We start from the raw sequence: 19,478 nt of genomic DNA, 5'->3' as shown, positions 1-19,478 counted from the left end.
TTCTCATTACTCATATTCATTTTTCCGTTATTTTTATCATACCAAATTTATTTTCTATTGCTGGGCAAAATGGGTTAGATTATCCTCTTGTTTTATTTTAATACAAATTTTACTATTGCATTGCAAATTTGAGTCATGTATCACTGTGTTGCTGGTGAAGTTTATTGATTATTAAACGTAAAAATGTTGATAATTATTACAGTTAAGGATTATAGTTACTTATAAATGAAATGCATTTGAGATTTTTTTTTTAACTCTGCAAGGCTTGCTCTTTATATTTGTTTTGTAAATTAAGCATTTATCTTCCAATCTTACAGATTTATGAAATTTCACACTAAGGGATCAGAGTGGTCACTCTTTTTCCTGCCCTCGTCTTTGGAACTGAATTCCTTTCTGACAAGTGAGGGGAATGTGATTTTAAGCTTGCTTCTATAAATTTTCAAGTGTTAAAATAGCTTACTAATTTATAGTTTTCTTGTACTAACATAATATTAATATGTTTTAAGGTGTTTACTAACTGGTATTCATTAGGGAACAGAGAACACCAAAGATGTTATTGCATTTATGAATATCACATGTAGAAAGGAGGGAAAACAGATTATTAGTGGCTGGGTTAGCCATAATTTATAAAGGATTGAAAATCCGATGAACTATAGTCATAGGAAATAGATTATAAGACCCTTAGTGCATTCTCCATAGTATCTTATCAGACTGAATTTCCCCGTACATTTCTATTTTAAAAGCAACGCATCCAAAGATATGAACATTAAAAACCTTGGGAAAATATTCTGGTTTTTAAAAATTGGAAAGTCCTTACCCTTCCCTGAGCCCATTTCTTTAAGCTCCAAAGTAATTTTTTTAAGGCTGTGTACAAATAATAATATACAGGTTTTGACTAATGGTCAAGTTTACATTTGCAGTTATTTTAGGATCTTTTTGTGTAAGTAGAGAGTCATTGGCCATTCATTGTGAGAGAAATTTACTATGAGCTGTAAAATCAAGAAGGGGTCATATTACAGCAGAGGCAATTCTCTTCCTCTCTTGGAAAGGGACCGGGGTTACTTGGTAATTTGAGGGTAAACCCAGACCAGAATGATCAAGTGTTTCTCTTTGCAGTAATGAGATTGTTTTCTTGGAACTTACTTTAGTTGATGTCTATTTGATTGAACAGTTGGACCTCTGAGTTAGGAGGCAGGCAGTTATGATCTCTTTTAAAATAAAAAAGTAGGCATTAAATGTAATCAGAATGACTTGTAGATATTGTTGTAGTTTTCTGGAGGTGTGTTTCTCATCCTGTAACGTGTATACAAATCCTCTGGGATTCTCGTTAGAAACCAACAGGATTCTGATTGGGAATGTCTGAGGTGGTGCCTGAGAGTCTGAATTTCTAACAAGCCTCCTTGGTGATATCTATGCTGCTTTCTCAAGACCACACTGAGTAGAAAGGCTCTAGGGCAGCACTTTCAAATAGAGCTTTCTGTGATGACGGAAATGTTCTCTGTGTATAGACAGATACAGAAATATACAGGTATCTATACAGACATACATACTCCACTATACAGATATATGGATATCTGTGTGTGTGTGCGTGCGTGTGTGTGTGTGTGTGTATATATATCTACATAAGCTATATATATGTATATATATATCCATATATCTGTATAGTGGAGTATGGTAGGTATTAGCTATATATGGTATGGAGCACTAAGGAACTACAATTTCAATTTTATTAAATTTTAAGTAACTTAAATGTAAATGTAAATAGGCTTCTGTGGATATGGCTACCAAATTGGACAACACAGTGTTAGAGAGAAATCCATTGAGAAATTTATACTTAATGGTATCAGCTCATGTAGGATCATGCTGAATTCTAGAATAGGCTGAGATTATCTCCACTGAAATTTACCACTGCCTGAACTTTGTTTGCGAGCAGACAGTATATATAGATGGAGCTGCTGGATTGTAAGCTCCTTGATGACAGAGGCCAAGTTGCTCTTGTTTGTTGCCCTTTTCTCTGCTGCTTGATGCATTCATGGTCCACAAGAAATGTTGGCTGAGTAAATGAGAGAATGAACTGGCTCTAATATCAGGAAGCGCCCTACTGTTTCCTGAATCCTTTTCAAGCCTGGACTTAGAAGCAACGGGTAGGACTTGGGTGACACTAACATATAGTGTTTTGCTTATGTTTAAGGAGGCTGCTTTTTTGCTTCTGTCTTAAGGTTTTTTGTTTGTTTGTTTGTTTGTTTGTTGAGACAGAATCTTGCTGTGTTGTCCCGGCTAGAGGGCAGTGGCACAATCACAGTTCACTGCAGCCTCAACCTCCCAGGCTCAAGCAGTCCTCTCACCTCAGCCTCCCAAGTAGCTGGGAGCACAGGCACACACCACCACACCTGGCTAAGTTTTTAAATTTTTTGTAGAGGAGGGGTCTCCCTGTTTGCCCAGGATGGTCTTGAACTCCTGAGCTCAAGTGAACCTCCTGCCTCAAGCTCCCAAAGGGTTGGGATTACAGGCGTGAGCCACCTCATCTGGCTTTCACCTTCTATTAATTGGTATCCTATTGGTTCTGGGACATTCATAATTGATTGCTTCAACAAAAATACCCATTTTGCTAGGTAAAATTGTTATAGGCTCTGGAGATATAATTGTAAAGAAAGCAAATAAAGTTCTTGCCTTTTAGAGTTTATATTTTTGTGGCAACAAAACAATACAAGACAAAACAAAAACCTTTTACTAAAAAATGGCATGACTGATCCCAGGTTCTAGAAAATATATGTGTGTAGAATCCGTAACTGTGGCTCTCCTGAGGAACCTAGGCATAGATGTGACTGCCATATAGTCTGGGGAAACGTATGTCCTGTTGCTGAGAATCCCGCATGAAAACGGTTTTATCTGGTTCAAATTTCAGCTTACAGTGACCGAGTCTACGGTAGATGTGGCAAATAGTTCTTATATTTTGTTTTTCTTGAACTATTGTCTTTTCAGGAGTTTGCTAGCCAGAGTGGAAGAAAACCAGTTTGATTTACTGCTCCTCAAACAGGATAATTCTTAGAAAGACCCTGGTTTTTCTGCAGCCGATCTTATGGAACAGGCTTATTTTCTCACAATTTGAAGAAATTTCTTTCTATTTCATTTCATTTTATTACAGCTCTGTCCCTGTGTTCCAGAAACAGATGACTACTTAATATATAACCCAAAGCACTCCTAAAATTCATCTTAACATTCAAATGTATCTCATTTCTTTCTCAATATACTAAATCAAAAGAAAAAAGGTCTTTAAAAAATCAGTGGGTTTATATGTCATTGCAGGAAAAGCATCTTTGCTAAACAACAGGAAACACGATTTGTTAGGAATCTAACCAGATACACAAAGCCGCAGATAAAGTCTCTGATAGAAAAGTATGACTTCTAATGGACTGTAAATAGATACCTCCAAAAAGTACCTGTATTTCACATGAATGTGAAAACTCTTCTCTCTTCCCTCCTCCACACTCTACACTACATTTTCATTTCTTTAAGGGGAAAAATACACGCAGTAAAGTATGAACTCTTTATTAATTCACATTCTACTAGTGTGTGGTTTATATTTAGGTAAGTGCTAAAGTTCTTTTTTTATATTTAACAAGTCCCTGAGTCCCTTTGTCACACATACAAGACCAAATTCAGGTAGGACTAATTCAGGAAGGCTCGCTGGAGGGGAAATGTTTTCAGTGGATTCTTACATTAGTAATAGATGTAGACTGAAAGGGAAAGTGTTAACAAGTTTCAAGTTTGGTGTAAGAGCTCACAGCAGTTGGAAGAAGCCATGTTGAAACTAGAGGGGCCTGGGGCAGAGGAGATGAGGAGATGATGGGCATGGATGCCGGTCCAAGTAGAGTGTCGTGGGAGATGCAGCACCCCTTGCATCTTTGTTCCTGTCTATTCTGCCTTTGTTCTGGCTCTAGCACTCACCGTCTCTCACCTGTACTATTGTCAGAAGCCTGCGTGGTTATTCCTGAGTCTATGCTTGTGCCCTCTCTGCTACACATCCTTCACATTCCACCAAGGCGAGCTTTCTAACATGCCAAACAGACTTTTCATGTTCTGGAAATACTCAGTTTTGAATCCCCTGTGTTTAGTACATAGCAGGTAATCAATATTTGCTGAATGCGTGAATGAATTTTGGAAACAATGGGCATTTAATAGGAAGTATCTAAGGCCCTATTTTACAAGGGAGCAGCTTAAAAAATCTTAAAACAATAATTTGGTCTTTTTTTAAAAAAATAATTATCTTAGCATATAGTCCCAATTTTTAAACAGAAGGAATAAATCAGAAATTCTAAATAAAAGGTCAGGATTAACAACACAGTCAAGTTGTGATAACCAATGCAAACAGCAAAAATAAACTGCTCATGGGGTGTGGCAGAGGGTGCCTTATTTGAAAGGAAATTCTTGCTGTTATGCTGAATCCTTAGGGACATGATAATTAAGGCTGTTTCTACCCAGAAGCTACAACTAGAACACTTCTGGTTTTATTCTTCATTATATTTGTTAACATTACTGCTCTTAGCAATGATGGTCTTGGCTAAATGCGTTAGTTCACGCCGTAATCCCAGCACTTTGGGAGGCCAAGGGTGGGAGGATCACTTGAGCCCAGGAGTTCGAGACCAGTCTGGGCAACATAGGGAAACCCCGTCTCTACAAAAAAATAAAAATAAAAAAATTAGCCGGGTGAGATGGCACATGCCTGTGGTTCCAGCTACTCCAGAGGCTGAGGCTGGAGGATCACTTAAGCACCGGAGGAGGCTGAGCTGCAGTGAGCTATGATGGTGCCACTGCACCCCAGCTGGGTGTCAGAGTGAGACCCTATCTCAGAAAAGAAAAAAAAAGCAATGATGAATGATGATCTCTCACGGTTCAGTGTCCCTGAGTTTCTCCCAGGCTTTTACTCCTGAGAGACAGAAGACTAGAAATTTAGTCCTGACTTAGAGTTCTAAAACAATACTTTATTGAACATCATTTTATTGACCTTGGTCAGGTCCTTTCGCCTCTCAGAACATTTGTCTCCCCCCGTCTGTTCCAGTTCTTAGAACAGTAAACACAGACCACGAGAAACTACTCCAGTATTTAATAGTAAAGCAAGCAATCTGTCACGCAGGGCTTTGCCTTGCCCTGTCTCCCTCTTATCTGACCTCGTTTTCTTTGACCGGTTGCCAAGTTGTTATATCAGACATCACAAGCACTTGCCCACAATTGTTGAATTTGCTGCCCCTTTCTGAGGGACATTTCAATGAAAACTATTAAAAATGGGGTGAAGGAATTATCAGAATTCTCTGAGGCCCCTTGATATCTTTTGGTCACTTCTCTTGGGGCCAGTGTTCAGTTGTGTGTGCGTGTGTGTGTGTGTGTGTGTGTGTGTGTGTGTGTGTTTGTGTGTGTGTGTTTGTTTGTTTGTTTTTTCCAGAGGGCAGTTGAAACTGTTAAAGCAAAGCGGGCTCCCAAGTGTCTAAGTTTAACTTTTCTTCCCTTTGTTGAATGGATTTCACTGTTATATGTTTTGGTGCAGTTTATAAATACAGCTTCAGCAGTCACTATGGTCAATTTTCTTAAAACACTTCATGATGGGTTAAACATTATTGCCTTTGGAAGCTTTAAGGCGTGAGTAACATTATGCTTATTTGTTTTGTATATTTACACTATATATACCATACCGCAAAAGTCTTTTTGACATTTATTTATACAGAGGAGAGGACTTTTTTCAAGAGTTGGTGAGCAAGGGAAGGCTTAATTAAGGACAGGGGATTTGGTTTAGGTGTTGAAATGTGAAAATAATCTGATTTATGTTGAAATGAGAAGAAAAAGTATGTCAGGTAGAGAAAGGAAGTTGAACAAAGGCAAAGGAGCGTGTGTATGTCTATGCATTCAGAATGTATGTATGCTTAAGCTTATTTCCAGTGTGTATTAGGATTAGAACAAATCTTTTCAGGGTATTCATGGGCTGCCTCCTACTTCAGTGTAGAGGCAATGGTATAACATGTGAAAGGGGGTTGACAGAGACTTGATTAGAAAGATGGATTGGGATTGTAAAGGAAGAAGTAAAGCTTTTATCCACAGATGACATGATCTGGTATGTAGAATCCTGAGGAATCTACAAATATGTTATTATATGCTCCAAGTTAAGCAAGGTTGTAGGATATAAGATTCACATACAGCAACAAATTGAATTTCTATGCATGGCTACTGAATGATCTAAAGAAATTTGAAAAGCAATATCAAAAGAAATAGAATCTTAGGGGAATAAATTGAAAATCTGTACATTTAAAATTATAAAAAAAAATGGCTAAAAGAAATTAAAGAAGATTAAGTAAGTGAAAAGACAGCCCATGGTCATGGAACGAAAGATGTAATAGTAATACTGTTAAGAAGCCAGTACTGTATAGATTCATTGCAGCCCCTATCAAAATCACAGCTTTCTGACGAGTTGATTCTAAAAGTAATGGGAAATTCAAGGGGCCAAGAGTGACCAAAACAACCTGAAAAAGGAAGAACAAGGTTGGAGGAGACTCACACTTCCAGATTTCACTTACTGCAAAGCTACAATAGTGAAGACAGTGTTATTCTGGCATAAAGATAGGCATCTAGCCAGGTGTGGTGCTACATGCCTGTAATCCTGACACTGGAAGGCTGAGGCGGGAGGGATCACTTGAGCCTAGGAGTTCAAGACCAGCCTGGGCAATGTAGTGAGACCCTGTCTCTTAAAAAAAATGAAAAATTGTCCAGGCATGGTGGTGCATGCGTATAGCCCCAGCTACTCGGAAGTCTGAGGTGGGAGGATCGCTTGAGTCCAGGAGGTCAACACTGCAGTGAACTGTGATTGCACCACCGTACTCCAGCCAGGGCGACAGAGTGAGATCCTGTCAAAAAGAAAAAAAAAAAAAAAAGATAGGCATCTAGCTCAATGGACTTGAGAGTCCAGAAATAAACCTTTGCATATATATTAATATATGTATATGTTTGATTTTTGACATGGGCACCAAGGCTTTTTGATGGGTAAAGAATAGTCTTTTCAACAGATAGCTCTGGGACAACTGGATATCCACATACAAAATAATGAAGTTGGATTTCTACTTCACATCATGTACGAAAATGAATTGAAAGTGGATGAGAGAGCTAAATGTAATAGCAAATACTGCAAAACTCTTAGAAGACAACGTAAAAGTAATCTTTGTGACGTTGGTTTAGACAATGATTTGCTACATATGATACAAAAAGCACAAGAGACCAAAGGAAAAACGGATAATTTGGATTTCAGCAAAAGTAAAAACGTTTGTGCTTCAGAAGACACTGTCAATTAAGTGAAAAATGACCACTCACAGAATGGTAGAAAACATTTGCAAAGTGTACATCTAATAAAGAACTTATGTCCAGAATATATAAAGAACTCTTAGAACTCAGTAATAAAAAGACAAATAATTCAGCCATCAAATGGGCATGTCTCTAAAAAAGATGCACAAATGGCCAAAAAACACATGACAAGGTGCTCAACATAATTAGTCATTAGGGAAATGCAAATGAGAATCACAGTGAGATACCACTTCTAGGATGTCTGTAACAATAAACAGACAATAATAGAATCTTAGACATTGCTTGTAGGAATGTAAATAGTGCATTTGCTTTGGAAAACTGTTCAGCAGTTTCTTAAAATATTAGACATAGGTTTACTATATGATCCAGAAATTTCACTCCTAGGTATATATAGAAGAGAATAACAAATATATTTAGGCCAGATGCGGTGGTTCATGTCTGTAATGCCAGCGCTTTAGGAGGCCGAGGCAGGCGTATCCTTTGAGCCCAGGAGTTCAAGACTAGCCTGGGCAACATGGTGGAACCCCATCTCTGCCAAAAGAAAAAAAAAGAAAAATTAGCTGGGCATGGTGGTGCATGCCTGTGCCTATAGTCCCAGCTACTCAGGAGGCTGAGGTGGGAGAATGGCTTGAGCCCAGGAGGTCAGGGCTGCAGTGAGCCATGATCGTCCCACTGCACTCCAGCCTGGGTGACAGAGTGAGACCCTGTCTCAAAAAAAGGAAGAAAAGAAAAAATGTATTTAGACCCTGAAACTTATATACACATTTTTTATTCATAGCAGCCAACAAGTTGAAACAACTCCAATATCTCATCAACTGATGAATGGCCAAAGAAAAGACTGCTCCCGTATGATGAAACATTATTTGGCAATAATAAAGAATGAAGTTCTCAGCCAGGCTCAGTGGCGCATACCTGTAGTCCAGCTACTTGGGAGGCTGAACTGGGAGGTTTGCTTGAGATCAGGAGTTTGAGACCAGCCTGGGAACCATAGAGAGACCCTGTCTCTCTTTACATGTAAAAAATAATAAAATAAAAGGAATGAAGTTTTGATAGATGATATGACATGAGTACACCTGACAACCTTGTGCCAGGTGAAAGAAGTCAGACCCCAAATGCCATATATTGTATGATTGCATTTATATGAAGTGTCCAGGATAGACCATTTCATAGAGATAGAAAGTATATTGGTAGTTACCAGGGGCTGAGAAAAGCTGAAATGGGGATTGGCTGCTTATGGATACAGGGTTTCTTTTTGGGAGTGATAAAAATGTTCTGGAATGGCCAGGCGCCATGGCTCACGCCTGTAATCCCAGCACTTTGGGAGGCCTAGGCGGGCGGATCACAAGGTCAGGAGATCGAGACCATCCTGGCTAACACTGTGAAACCCCGTCTCTACTAAAAAAATACAAAAAATTAGCCAGGCATGGTGATGGGCACCTGTATCCCAGCTCCTCGGGAGGCTGAGGCAGGAGAATGGCGTGTATCCAGGAGGCGGAGCTTGCAGTGAGCCGAGATCGCGCCACTGCACTCCAGCCTGGGTGACGGAGCAAGACTCCATCTCAAAAAAAAAAAAAGTTCTAGAATTAGATAGTGGTGATAGTTGTACAGTTTTGTGAATATACTAAAAATGCCTGAATCTTAAAAGGTGGAACCATGAAAAGACCTACTGCCTTCTTTACTGAAAGACATAAAATATCAATATTCCACCCTAGGAAGAAGGCTCTTTATTGTTTTTAGCTATCATCTTTTTCAATTCATTGTTTGAAAAGTCACTTCCTCTTCAGATGTAAGCAAGCTACATTTTATTAGTTCTGTCTTGTAGAAGGTGTTATAAATACTATCCCAGAGAAGTGCTTGTTAGATTCCATCAACACTTGATTCAGATTTAATTTTAAGAATATATTTCAGGCCAGGCATGGTGGCTCATGTGTGTAATCCCAAGGTCAAGGCGAGAGGATCATTTGAGGCCAGGAGTTTGAAACCAGCCTGGGCAACACAGTGAGACCCCATCTCTACAAAAAGTAAAAACGTTAGCTGGACATGATGGTGCATGCCTGTTGTGGTCCCAGCTACCCGAGAGGCTGGAGTGAGAGGATCACTTGAGCCGAGGAGTTCGAGGCTGCGGTGAGCTATGTTCGCACTCCCACACTCCAGTCTGGATGATAGAGTAAGATCCTGTCTTTAAAAAAGAGAAAAAAGTGTATATATTTCAAATTATTTTACAACATGGAATATGAAACAGCATGTACTCTCAGAGGTATTGCTATTTAACACACTGGGGGATACCGTGTGTTCAATAGCAATACACCTATTATTAGTAATTGTATCAGTAATTAATAATTATCAGTTATTAGGATAACTGATGTTTCCAAGTTACCTTGGAAATCAAATTTTTTTTTTTTTTTTTTTTTTTGAGATGGAGTCTTGCTCTGTCACCCAGGCTGGACTACAATGGTGCAATCTCGGCTCACTGCAACCTCTGCCTCCCAGGTTCAAATGATTCTCGTGCCTCAGCCTCCCAAGTAGCTGGGATTACAGGCAGAATCAAGTCTTTTCAGCCATTTCAGTGTATATATATACACAGACATTTATAAAATATTTCACTAAATAGGAAGGTTGTAGCTCTGCAGTAGTTTAAAAATGGTAACAATGGCCAGGTGCGATGGCTCATGACTGTAATCCCAGCATTTTGGGAGGCCGAGGCAGGTGGATCACGAGGTCAAGACATCGAGACCATCCTGGCCAACATGATGAAACCCCGTCTCTACTTAAAACAAAAAACAAAAATTAGCTGGGCATGGTGGCACGCACCTGTAGTCCCAGCTACTCTGGAGACTGGGGCAGAAGAATCACTTGAACCCGGGAGGTAGAGGTTGCAGTGAACCGAGATCGTACCACTACACTCCAGCCTGGAAACAGAGTGAGACTCCATCTCAATAAATAAATAAAATAAAATAAAATAAAATAAAAATGGTAACAACTAATGTCCTCTTTCATAAAGTAAAAGTGAGTACACTGTATTTCCAGCATAGATGAGGGTTTTCATGATACAAAGTAACCAAAACTAAGTTCAGAAGAAGACTGGATACTAGGGCTGATAGGACTACAGCTGCTATCTGTAAACCCCCAATTGAAAGTTTTGGTTTGTCAGAATGTCCCCATTTTCAGTTCTCACTGGCTATCATTTTAACAAGAAAATATTATAAATTTGGTTCAATATAGTGAATATATACTAATACTGTTTACTTCGTGTATTGGGGTTCTTCGTAAGATGCCATTACAATTTTATGCAGGTAGTGATCTTACTAATATGTAGAATCTAAAATGTTGAGCTCTTGGAAGCAGAAACTAGAATGATGGTTACCAGGGACTGGTGGGTGGTGGGATTGGGGAGGTGCTGGTCAAAGGATACAAAATTGCAGATAGGTAGGAGGAATAAATTCAGGAGGTCTGTTGTAGAACATGGTGACTATAGTTAATAACAATGTATTGTATACTTGAAAATTGCTAGAAGAGTAAGTAGATTTTAAATGTTTTCACTACACACCAAAAATTTGAGGTACAGTACTGGTATGTTGTTAATTAGCTTGATTTAGCTAGTCTACAAAGGTACGCATATATTAAACATTATGTTGTATACTATATATATATAAACTTTATATATGTAAACATATATCTAGATATATAAACAAACTTTTGTCAATTGGGAAAATAAATGAATAAAATGAGAAAAATGAATTTTCCGTAGTTGGGTTCCTGGAAGTCTTTCTCAACACACTAAGTTTCTCATTCCATGTTGGCTTCATTCTTATTTTTCAGGGATGTTTTGAAAGCATTTTTTCCCTCCACAGAAACCCAACAATGAAGGGGAGACTTCTGGCAGAAAAAACATATTGACTGAGTTTAAATAGATCATAAGCATTTTGCAGAGGCTCTGTCTCGGAGCTTGCACTGCACAGATACTGTTGGCTAGATCATAGGGCTCTTTAGTGTTAAGCCCAATATACACATTTTAGTTGCTGTTTCATGAGTGGTATTTGGAAGTTGGTACATATCCTTATTGTAACCCCTTTTTGCATATGAAGCAACTGAGGTTCTGAATCCTCATGTATGGGACATCAGAAGCAAAGTTAAATATGGCAGGTGTCATTAGATTGCCTTCTAGGCCGAAAGTTTTGTGGTTATACTCGCGTAGGCTGAGTAGAAGGGATCACTGTAGTGTCATGAGGAGTGTGTGTTACAGGGTGGTGGGAGGACTGATATAATGCAATAATCAAGTTAATAAGTATTATTGAGTGCCTAATCTGTGTGAATATGCATTATTACCTACTGGGCCCTGTCTTTCTACAACAAGTCATATGTCCATTGTGTTCTCTTCACAGGTGATCATGGAGGAAGCACTTTACTCCCACCAAATGTCACAAATGAATTTCCAGAATATGGGACCATGGAGGAAGGTGGAGAAGGCCTAAGGGCTTCTCTGGAATTTGATGGTGAGGCTCTGCCATGCCACCCACAAGAGCAGCAGGGTGTCCAGCCTCTTACTGGCTGCCACTCTGGGCTCGACAGTGTTACAGAAGGACCAAAAGATGTCAGAGAGGCCCCCTCTCAAAGTCATCTCAAGGAACAAAGTTTACAGCCCATTGACTCTTTGATTTCAGCTCTGAAAGCCACAGAAGCCAGAATCATTTCCGGAACATTACAGGCTACAAAGGTACTGGACCAAGATGCTGTTTCTAGTTTTTCAGTTCAGCAGGTGGAAAAAGAGCTGGACACTGCCAGTCGTAAAACACAGAGAGTCAACAAAACGCTCCCTGCTGGCCAAAAAAATTTACCAGAAATACCTCTTTCAGCTGAAGTAACAACGGAGGAAAGTTTTTATTTGAGCATCCAGAAAGATCTCACCGCGCTGTTAACTGGAGACACTCAGGCAGAGATTTCCCAGATAATGAATAATGGGAGGAAAGGGGCTGTCTGTGTGCAGGAGCCATCTTGTCCTTTGGCCTCCCTCGGGAGCTCAGCAGTGACCTGCCACTCTGCAGGCAGTGTTGGTTTCTTGAAAGAGCAGAGGTCTGCTCTTGGGAGAGAGCACCCAGGGGGATGTGATCGAAGCAGCTCCATGGGACGCCCAGGCCGGGTCAAACATGTGGAATTTCAAGGAGTGGAAATACTGTGGACAGGAGGAGACAAGAGAGAGACCCAGCATCCTATAGATTTTGAGACATCACTGCAAAGAACAGCCTCTCCTGACAGCAAAGAGTCTTCCAAAGTGCCACGCCATCTCATCTCATCAGCTGGTTTGTGTAATTCAAGTAGTTTAACTGAGAATGTTTGGGATGAATCCTGGAAAGCTCCTTCAGAGAGGCCTGGCACTAGCTCGGGGACATTTTCCCCTGTGCGTCTTGATGAGAGTGGAGAGGATGAAGTCTTCCTACAGGAAAACAAACAGCATCTTGAGAAGACACCTAAACCAGAGAGAGACAGGGAAAGGTGAGCTCCCATAGTAGCCCTGCTGTCTCAGATGCCTGGTACATATCATAGAAAACTGTTATCCTGTACTTGATATGAGAACTCAATCACAATACCTTGGGTTCTTGTTATCATGGAATATAAGATGAGTTACTGTGAGCTAGGTCCTTCTAAGCTAAGATTCCTCCTAAGCTTCTCAGATATTAAAGTGATCTTGTTATAAAGTCATCCGTTAGGCATGGACCAGGGAAACAGAGTTCTGAAGAGACTGTGAACACTAAACTGTGAATTCTTTTCTGACATTTTCTTAACATTTGACAGATTTCAAGTTTCCCAACGTCAAGGTAACTAACATACCCCACAGTCATCTTTAGTAATATGAAAAGGTTTGGACTCTTTTGACACACCCTATATAGCTGGTACTTCCAACCTTGGCATTTCTTCTGGGTATAACACCAATGCCTTCAGTCCAGCCGACATACATGTATGAACACAGAGGTTCTTGGCCCACTCAATTTCCTATGTTTGTTTGTTTATTTATTTATACAGAGACAGGGTCTTGTTCTGTCCCCCGGGCCGGAGTATGGTGGTGTGATCACGGCTCACTGCGGCCTTGACCTTCCAGGCTCAAGAGATCCTCCCACCTCAGCCCTCTGAGTAGCTGGGACTACAGGTGTGCACCACCACACCTGGCCAACTTTTGTACTCTTTGTAGAGATGGGGTCCCACTTTGTTGCCCAGGCTGTTTCAAACTCCTCGCATCAAGTGATCCTCCCACCTTGGCCTCCCTAAGTGGTGGGATTACAGGTGTGAGCCACTGTGCCGGGCCCTTCCTATGTTTTGAAATGACATCTCAGGGGGTCAGAAGTAGATTTTATAATTCAGTTGTTCCCTGGTATTCACATGGGAATTTCTTCTTCTCACAAGTAGCATATATTTTGATTTATGGCCTTTTTTTTTTTTGTAAATTATACTTTAGGTTCTGGGGTACATGTGCAGAACGTGCAGGTTTGTTACATAAGTATACATGTGCCATGGTGGTTTGCTGCACCCATCAACCCGTCATCTACATTAGGTATTTCTCCTAATGCCATCCCTCCCTTAGCCCCCAACACCCCGACAGGGCCCGGTGGGTGATATTCCCCTCCCTGTGCCCATATGTTCTCATTGTTTAACTCCTACTTATGAGATTTATGGCCTTTATGATTGAAACTTGACATCATGTGGTATTTCCTGGTCTTTCCCTGCATTTCTGACATCTACACCAGCTTAGACCCTGGATAAATGGCAGACGTGACCCATCTTTCTGCACTCCCTTTGATCGTAGTCATTTGTTGTGTACTGTACTTCTAATTGGTACCATCTTTTCTTCTGTCAGCCCTCATGACACCACATTTTATAGTTTATACGGGAGAGCATCTGTGTCAAGGCCGAGGGTTGTTTTTTGTTTTTTTGTTCGGTGTAAGGAAATGCCTTTTCCTCTGCAGTTAAAAAACCCACTGAGAGTGGTGCTCCTTTGGGATCACTGGCAGGATCCTTCCCACTCCCCTCCCCAACCCATCAGCTCTCCAGACTTCCCTCCAAAGCGGCCTTGATATGTGGCATGTGGCCCAGTGTTTATATTCCCACTGGAATATGCACTTTTACTGTTGTTCAGATTAATAATTCATTCCTCTTTTCTTCCCACAAATATTTTCAATTGTCTCCTATGTCCTGACACTGCAAGATGCTGGGCGTAAAGGAATGGTCAAAATAGATGTGGCTCACGGATACTGTCCTCATGGAATTTACCACTGAAGATAAACATTGATCACATAAACATGCTAATAGGTATAGGATCACAAAGTGTGCTAGGTTCTGTGAAGGAAAGAACAGAGACCTACAAGAATGAATAATTTGGATGGAGGGAAGAGGCCAGTTTAGTTGATGGCTTGGACAAAGCTTTTCTGTGGAAATGGAAATTACACTGAGACGTGAGGAAGGAAAGAGTTTGCCAGCCAGAGAAGGGGTAGGAAGAATGTTCCAGCTAGAGGGAACAGCATGTGCACAGGAGGCTGCTGAGCTCCCTGACTAGTGTGTGCTTCCTGCAGATGTGTGAAGCCAAGGCCTGTGCCAGGCTTGAAGATTTGAAACTCTCCCTGTGTGGCTAATGCCTGAAGAGCAGGGGAGGCTTGGCATGGTGGCTCACACCTGTAATCCCAGCACTTTGGGAGGCCGAGGCAGGCAGATCACCCGAGGTCAGGAGTTTGAGACCAGCCTGGCTAACTCCATCTCCAATAAAAATACAAAATTAGCCAGGCGTTGTGTTACATGCCTGTAATCCCAGCTGCTTGAGAGTCTGAGGCAGGAGAGTCACTTGAACCTGGGAGGCGGAGGCTGCAGTGAGCCGAGATTGCACCAATGCACCCCAGCCTAGGTGATAGAGTTAGACTGCATCTCAAAAAAAAAAAAAAAAAGCAGGGGAGAGTGGGGTGCAGTGAGTGTGGAGAGGTAGGGAGGAGCATCATCTTAGGAACGGTCCAGTTTATGCCAAGTGCAGTGGAAAGCCATTAAGAACAAGCATTTGGTCCCATGGGTGACCTTCAGTATTTAAAAACAACAAACCAATTGCAATGCTGAATGTGGATTCCAGTAATACCTGGGAATGTGGATGACTTATGAGATGCTTAATAGATAATTCCTAATTCTATGTTATTCCTATTTGTAGGAATCTGAGGCTCAGAGAGGTTAAGTAAAGTTGCTTCAAGTGATATAGCTAGTAATTGAGACAGCCAAAATTCAGCTTCTGGTTTTTCTAACTCTTGACCTCTTGCTCTTAGTAGTGATCTATCTCCCAAGTTTTTAATTTTACTTAGTTATCCTAATGTTCGTTTTTAATATTTGTAGAACATGCTGCATATTAATTGTTCACGTTTGTGTGCCAAAGTGAATGCCCTACCCTGTATGTTGACTTTTGAGCTGTTTCTAATCTCTCAAAGCTTTGGTTAGCCTTGCTTCTGTTGCCTTTTTGTTAGGCCGTTAATTGGCTATCTAATTTTGGACGTGAAATCTCTCTGCAGTGCTGCTCTGTTGTCAGCAGGGGGCAGCTCTTGGCTTCTGATGCAGTCATCTGCTTGAGAGCATTTGGCCTTATTTAAATCAGAAAGTATTAATCAACTGATGAAAGTTTGGTGTATTTTTACTGAAATTTTGCCGTATCAAGTTTCCATGATATATTTATCTGCTTCTGTTATAATTAGGAATGCTGGTAGTTGCAAATAATCTGAATGTGTACGGTATATTTGGCTAAAATGAGAATTGAATATTTTATTCATATCTTCATTGGACCAGATGTATTCACACATTAGGAAACTAGTTTGAAACTTTATTAAAGTATTTATAGTGTCCTAGCCACATGCATGCCAAGAATTTTTCAACCTGATTATATTTCATAGCTTCCTTCCCAAATATGTTAAGATATAAGTCAATGAATAGAAGAGTTAGATCTTCAGAATGTTGTCCTTTTTATATGGTTGAAGTGGGAGAAATAAAGACATTAACCTAATATTGGAATTCTTCACTCTTATTTACTTTCCAGGATCAGCGAACAAGAGGAGCACGTTAAGGGGGAAGATGAAGACATCCTTGGGCCTGGATATACGGAGGACTCCACCGACGTGTACAGCTCCCAGTTTGAAACCATTTTGGACAACACTTCTTTATACTACAGTGCAGAGTCCCTGGAGACATTATACTCAGAGCCTGATAGCTATTTTAGCTTTGAAATGCCCCTCACTCCAATGATACAACAGCGCATTAAAGAAGGTGGTCAGTTCTTGGAGAGGACATCAGGGGGAGGACATCAGGATATCCTGAGTGTGTCTGCAGATGGTGGCATCGTGATGGGCTATTCTAGTGGCGTCACCAATGGGCTGAATGATGCCAGCGACTCCATCTACACGAAAGGCACCCCGGAGATTGCTTTCTGGGGAAGGTACTCGTCCCATTCTCATTCATTTCATGCTGGTGGTTTTTGTAGGATTTCTTTTCTGGGAAATCTGAGTGTGGAATATATATTTAAATCATTTGGCCAATTTCTGTGGACATAAGCAAATGATGTGAGTAAAAAGTAATTTGAGTTTTAGGGCAGGAAAGACACACCTTAGTGGTTTGTCACATTGGCACACTGTGATCATTTTAGTCTGTGGGATTTCCTGGATGACTATATATAAATTGGATACCAAACAAATATTTGGGGATGATGAGTGAGGTTATCAGCTCCGATGATGGCAGAGACGTGGTGCTGTGAAACGAACACTGAGAGATCGTAGCTTTAGTCTGGCACTGAGGGTGGTTGAAGACTTCAAGAAGATTGTTTGATTAGCTCAGAGATTCCTTCATTGGAAATTAAAGTGGTGGACTATACAGTCAGCAAAGTCTCTTCCAGCCCTTTGCTCTGAGAGTTCCTGTTCTGTCTTCCTGTTCCTGACGTGTTGAAGGAAGGATCCGATTAGACAGATGCTTGAGAGAGCTGATATCTTGGTCTAGGCTCCGTATTTATTTTCTCTCTCTACTTTAGGATTTTTAATCTATCTGGGAGATAAAATGACAAATTATGTACATTGTATCCACCATGCCTGTTATTTGGGGATTCCGCGACTATTTATGGATTATCCAGCGTTTCATTTCTTCATGCTCGTCATCCTCAGGTTATCTACCTGTGACAATTTTATGAATTTTGTTTTGGTATATGTGTGTGTGTGTGTGTGTGTGTATGTATGTATGTTTGTGTGGAGCTGGTGGGAGGTGTTAAATGGTGATCAACTATTTTAAAGCTGTTTAAAGCTGTATTAAATAATACCAGTGTTTTTTGTTAAAAAAAAAAAAAGCCAGTATTAATATTACAGGTTTTCAATGGACCTCTCTTTTTGAGCAGTCTGCCCTGTGCTGAGCATTTTCTATAACCAGTTTGAAGGTTTATAGTTCATTAGATGAGCAAATTCAGGATTGGCTCCTTGTGACATTGTAGCTATGCATTTTCTTGTGAATATGGATTGTGGATATTGGTTGTCTTACTGGGTCACAGTGAGAATAAAAAGAACAAGGTGTCAAAACCACAAGACTTTGGTCTGAAGTACTTGGGCAAGCCACTTACGTTCTCTGAAACTGGATTTATTTATTTGCGAAATGGGGTTAATGATCCAGTGTGTTGTGAGGCTGTGAGATTTAAAGGGTTAATAGAGACTAAAGCACCTCGCACAGGACATGGTACAAAGCAGAGCCTGGGTAAGTGTGTGCATATGAACTGGTTGCCTGGTTAGTCCACATCTAGACTTCTTGTATCTCTGAGATCAGAGTGTCTCTCAGTGGAAGAGTACTGGCGAGGAGGCATTCCTGAAAGCAGTGTCCCCGTGAGGCGGTGCTCCTCAGTGGAGGGTGCCACCTTAGTCCTCCCCTTTCACCTTCGTCTCTGAGGACTGCAAATTGTGATAAAACGCTGTAGGAAAGGTATGCAGATAATTGCACTGAAATTCCCACTCAGTTTTCTAGGGTGAGTGGAAGTTGTTTATATTACAGACCAAACATGGTTTGGGGAGTGGAAGAGTTTTGGGCTAAGAGGCTTCACTGCAAAAGCCACAGGGAGTGGTTGTAAGTGAAGCCGAGAGATGAACACCAGTGAAGGAACTGGGTGAAAGGTTTATTAAATGTGCGGCTTGTGCACTTAGAACAGGAGGTTGTCATCATTTGGGCCAGCATGGGTGCCAGTCACGAGGATGGACAGAGTTGGGAGAGAATATTAGAGTAGGTCATAGTATTTTAGCATCTCATATTTAGACAGTGGTATTCTTCAGGCCGTGTTGAGATAAAGTTTCAGCTGTGTCACCTGCATTGTCAAACCAGGAGATCTTGTCTAGTGGTAAAGGACCACGTTCTAGTGGTGAGTGACAAGCACCTTGGAGACGCGCCAGCTTGCCTCTCCCCGAGTCTGGGCACTCCTACTGTACAATTCCTGATTGGTGGTCATCCTACCATGTGCTGAGCACTGCCAGTGGCTTGGACAGACAAGCTTGGCAGGACTCCCCCATTTTGTGTTATTTGAGGTTGGCATATGATAATAAGTGGTTACAGGTGGAGGAAGCTTTATTTTGTGATGTATGTCTCTATTCAAGGTTAAAAGGTAGGGCAGGTTTAATGATCCTAAGAAATTTTAAGGAAACTGAAAAACCCATATTTTTCTTTACTCCCTTCTACCTTCCTTGCTGATTTGGAGAAGTTGTAACCAAAGAAGAATTGTGTTACTATTGTGGGTTAGAGAATGAGAACATTTTACTACTTGAAGGGGCCTCAGATAGCCTTTAAAAAAAAAAAAAAAAAAAAAAATATATATATATATATATATATATATATATATATATATATATATATATATATATATATATATAACATAGAATCTGTATTCCAGTTTGGTGGGATATCTTACCCAAAGCCACGTGGCTGTCTTGTGACAGATACCGTAGTAGAATTCAAGTTGTCTGGCTCCTAGGCCGGATTCATTCACTGTGCTAGGTGTTGGGTCTTTTATTTTGTTATTCTTCTTTTGATCGGATTTCTCTCATGCCATGTGTTGATAAAGCCGGAAGTCTGAGATGGTCTGTTTTCAAGAAACTAAGTTCTAAATGTAGAGCTGC

At 40.5% G+C, this 19,478-nt stretch overlaps 1 protein-coding gene across 20 annotated transcripts in view; it reads left to right on the top strand.

The window, feature by feature from the left end:
* The window catches only part of PSD3 (pleckstrin and Sec7 domain containing 3), a 557,503-nt gene that overhangs the window by 200,349 nt on the left and 337,676 nt on the right, over positions 1-19,478 (top strand). For all 20 annotated transcript variants that reach the window (NM_001412865.1, NM_001412866.1, NM_001412872.1 and 17 more), the window contains 2 exons: positions 11,724-12,831; positions 16,388-16,783. In NM_001412865.1, the coding sequence (NP_001399794.1) occupies positions 11,724-12,831; positions 16,388-16,783 (1,504 nt within the window). The remainder of the gene's footprint in view (positions 1-11,723; positions 12,832-16,387; positions 16,784-19,478) is intronic.

Source organism: Homo sapiens, chromosome 8 (genome assembly GCF_000001405.40).
Source record: "Homo sapiens chromosome 8, GRCh38.p14 Primary Assembly".
NCBI classification, from domain to species: Eukaryota; Metazoa; Chordata; class Mammalia; order Primates; family Hominidae; genus Homo; species Homo sapiens.
Note: the sequence above shows the minus strand (reverse complement) of the source record. Positions and strands in the feature narration are given on the sequence as shown.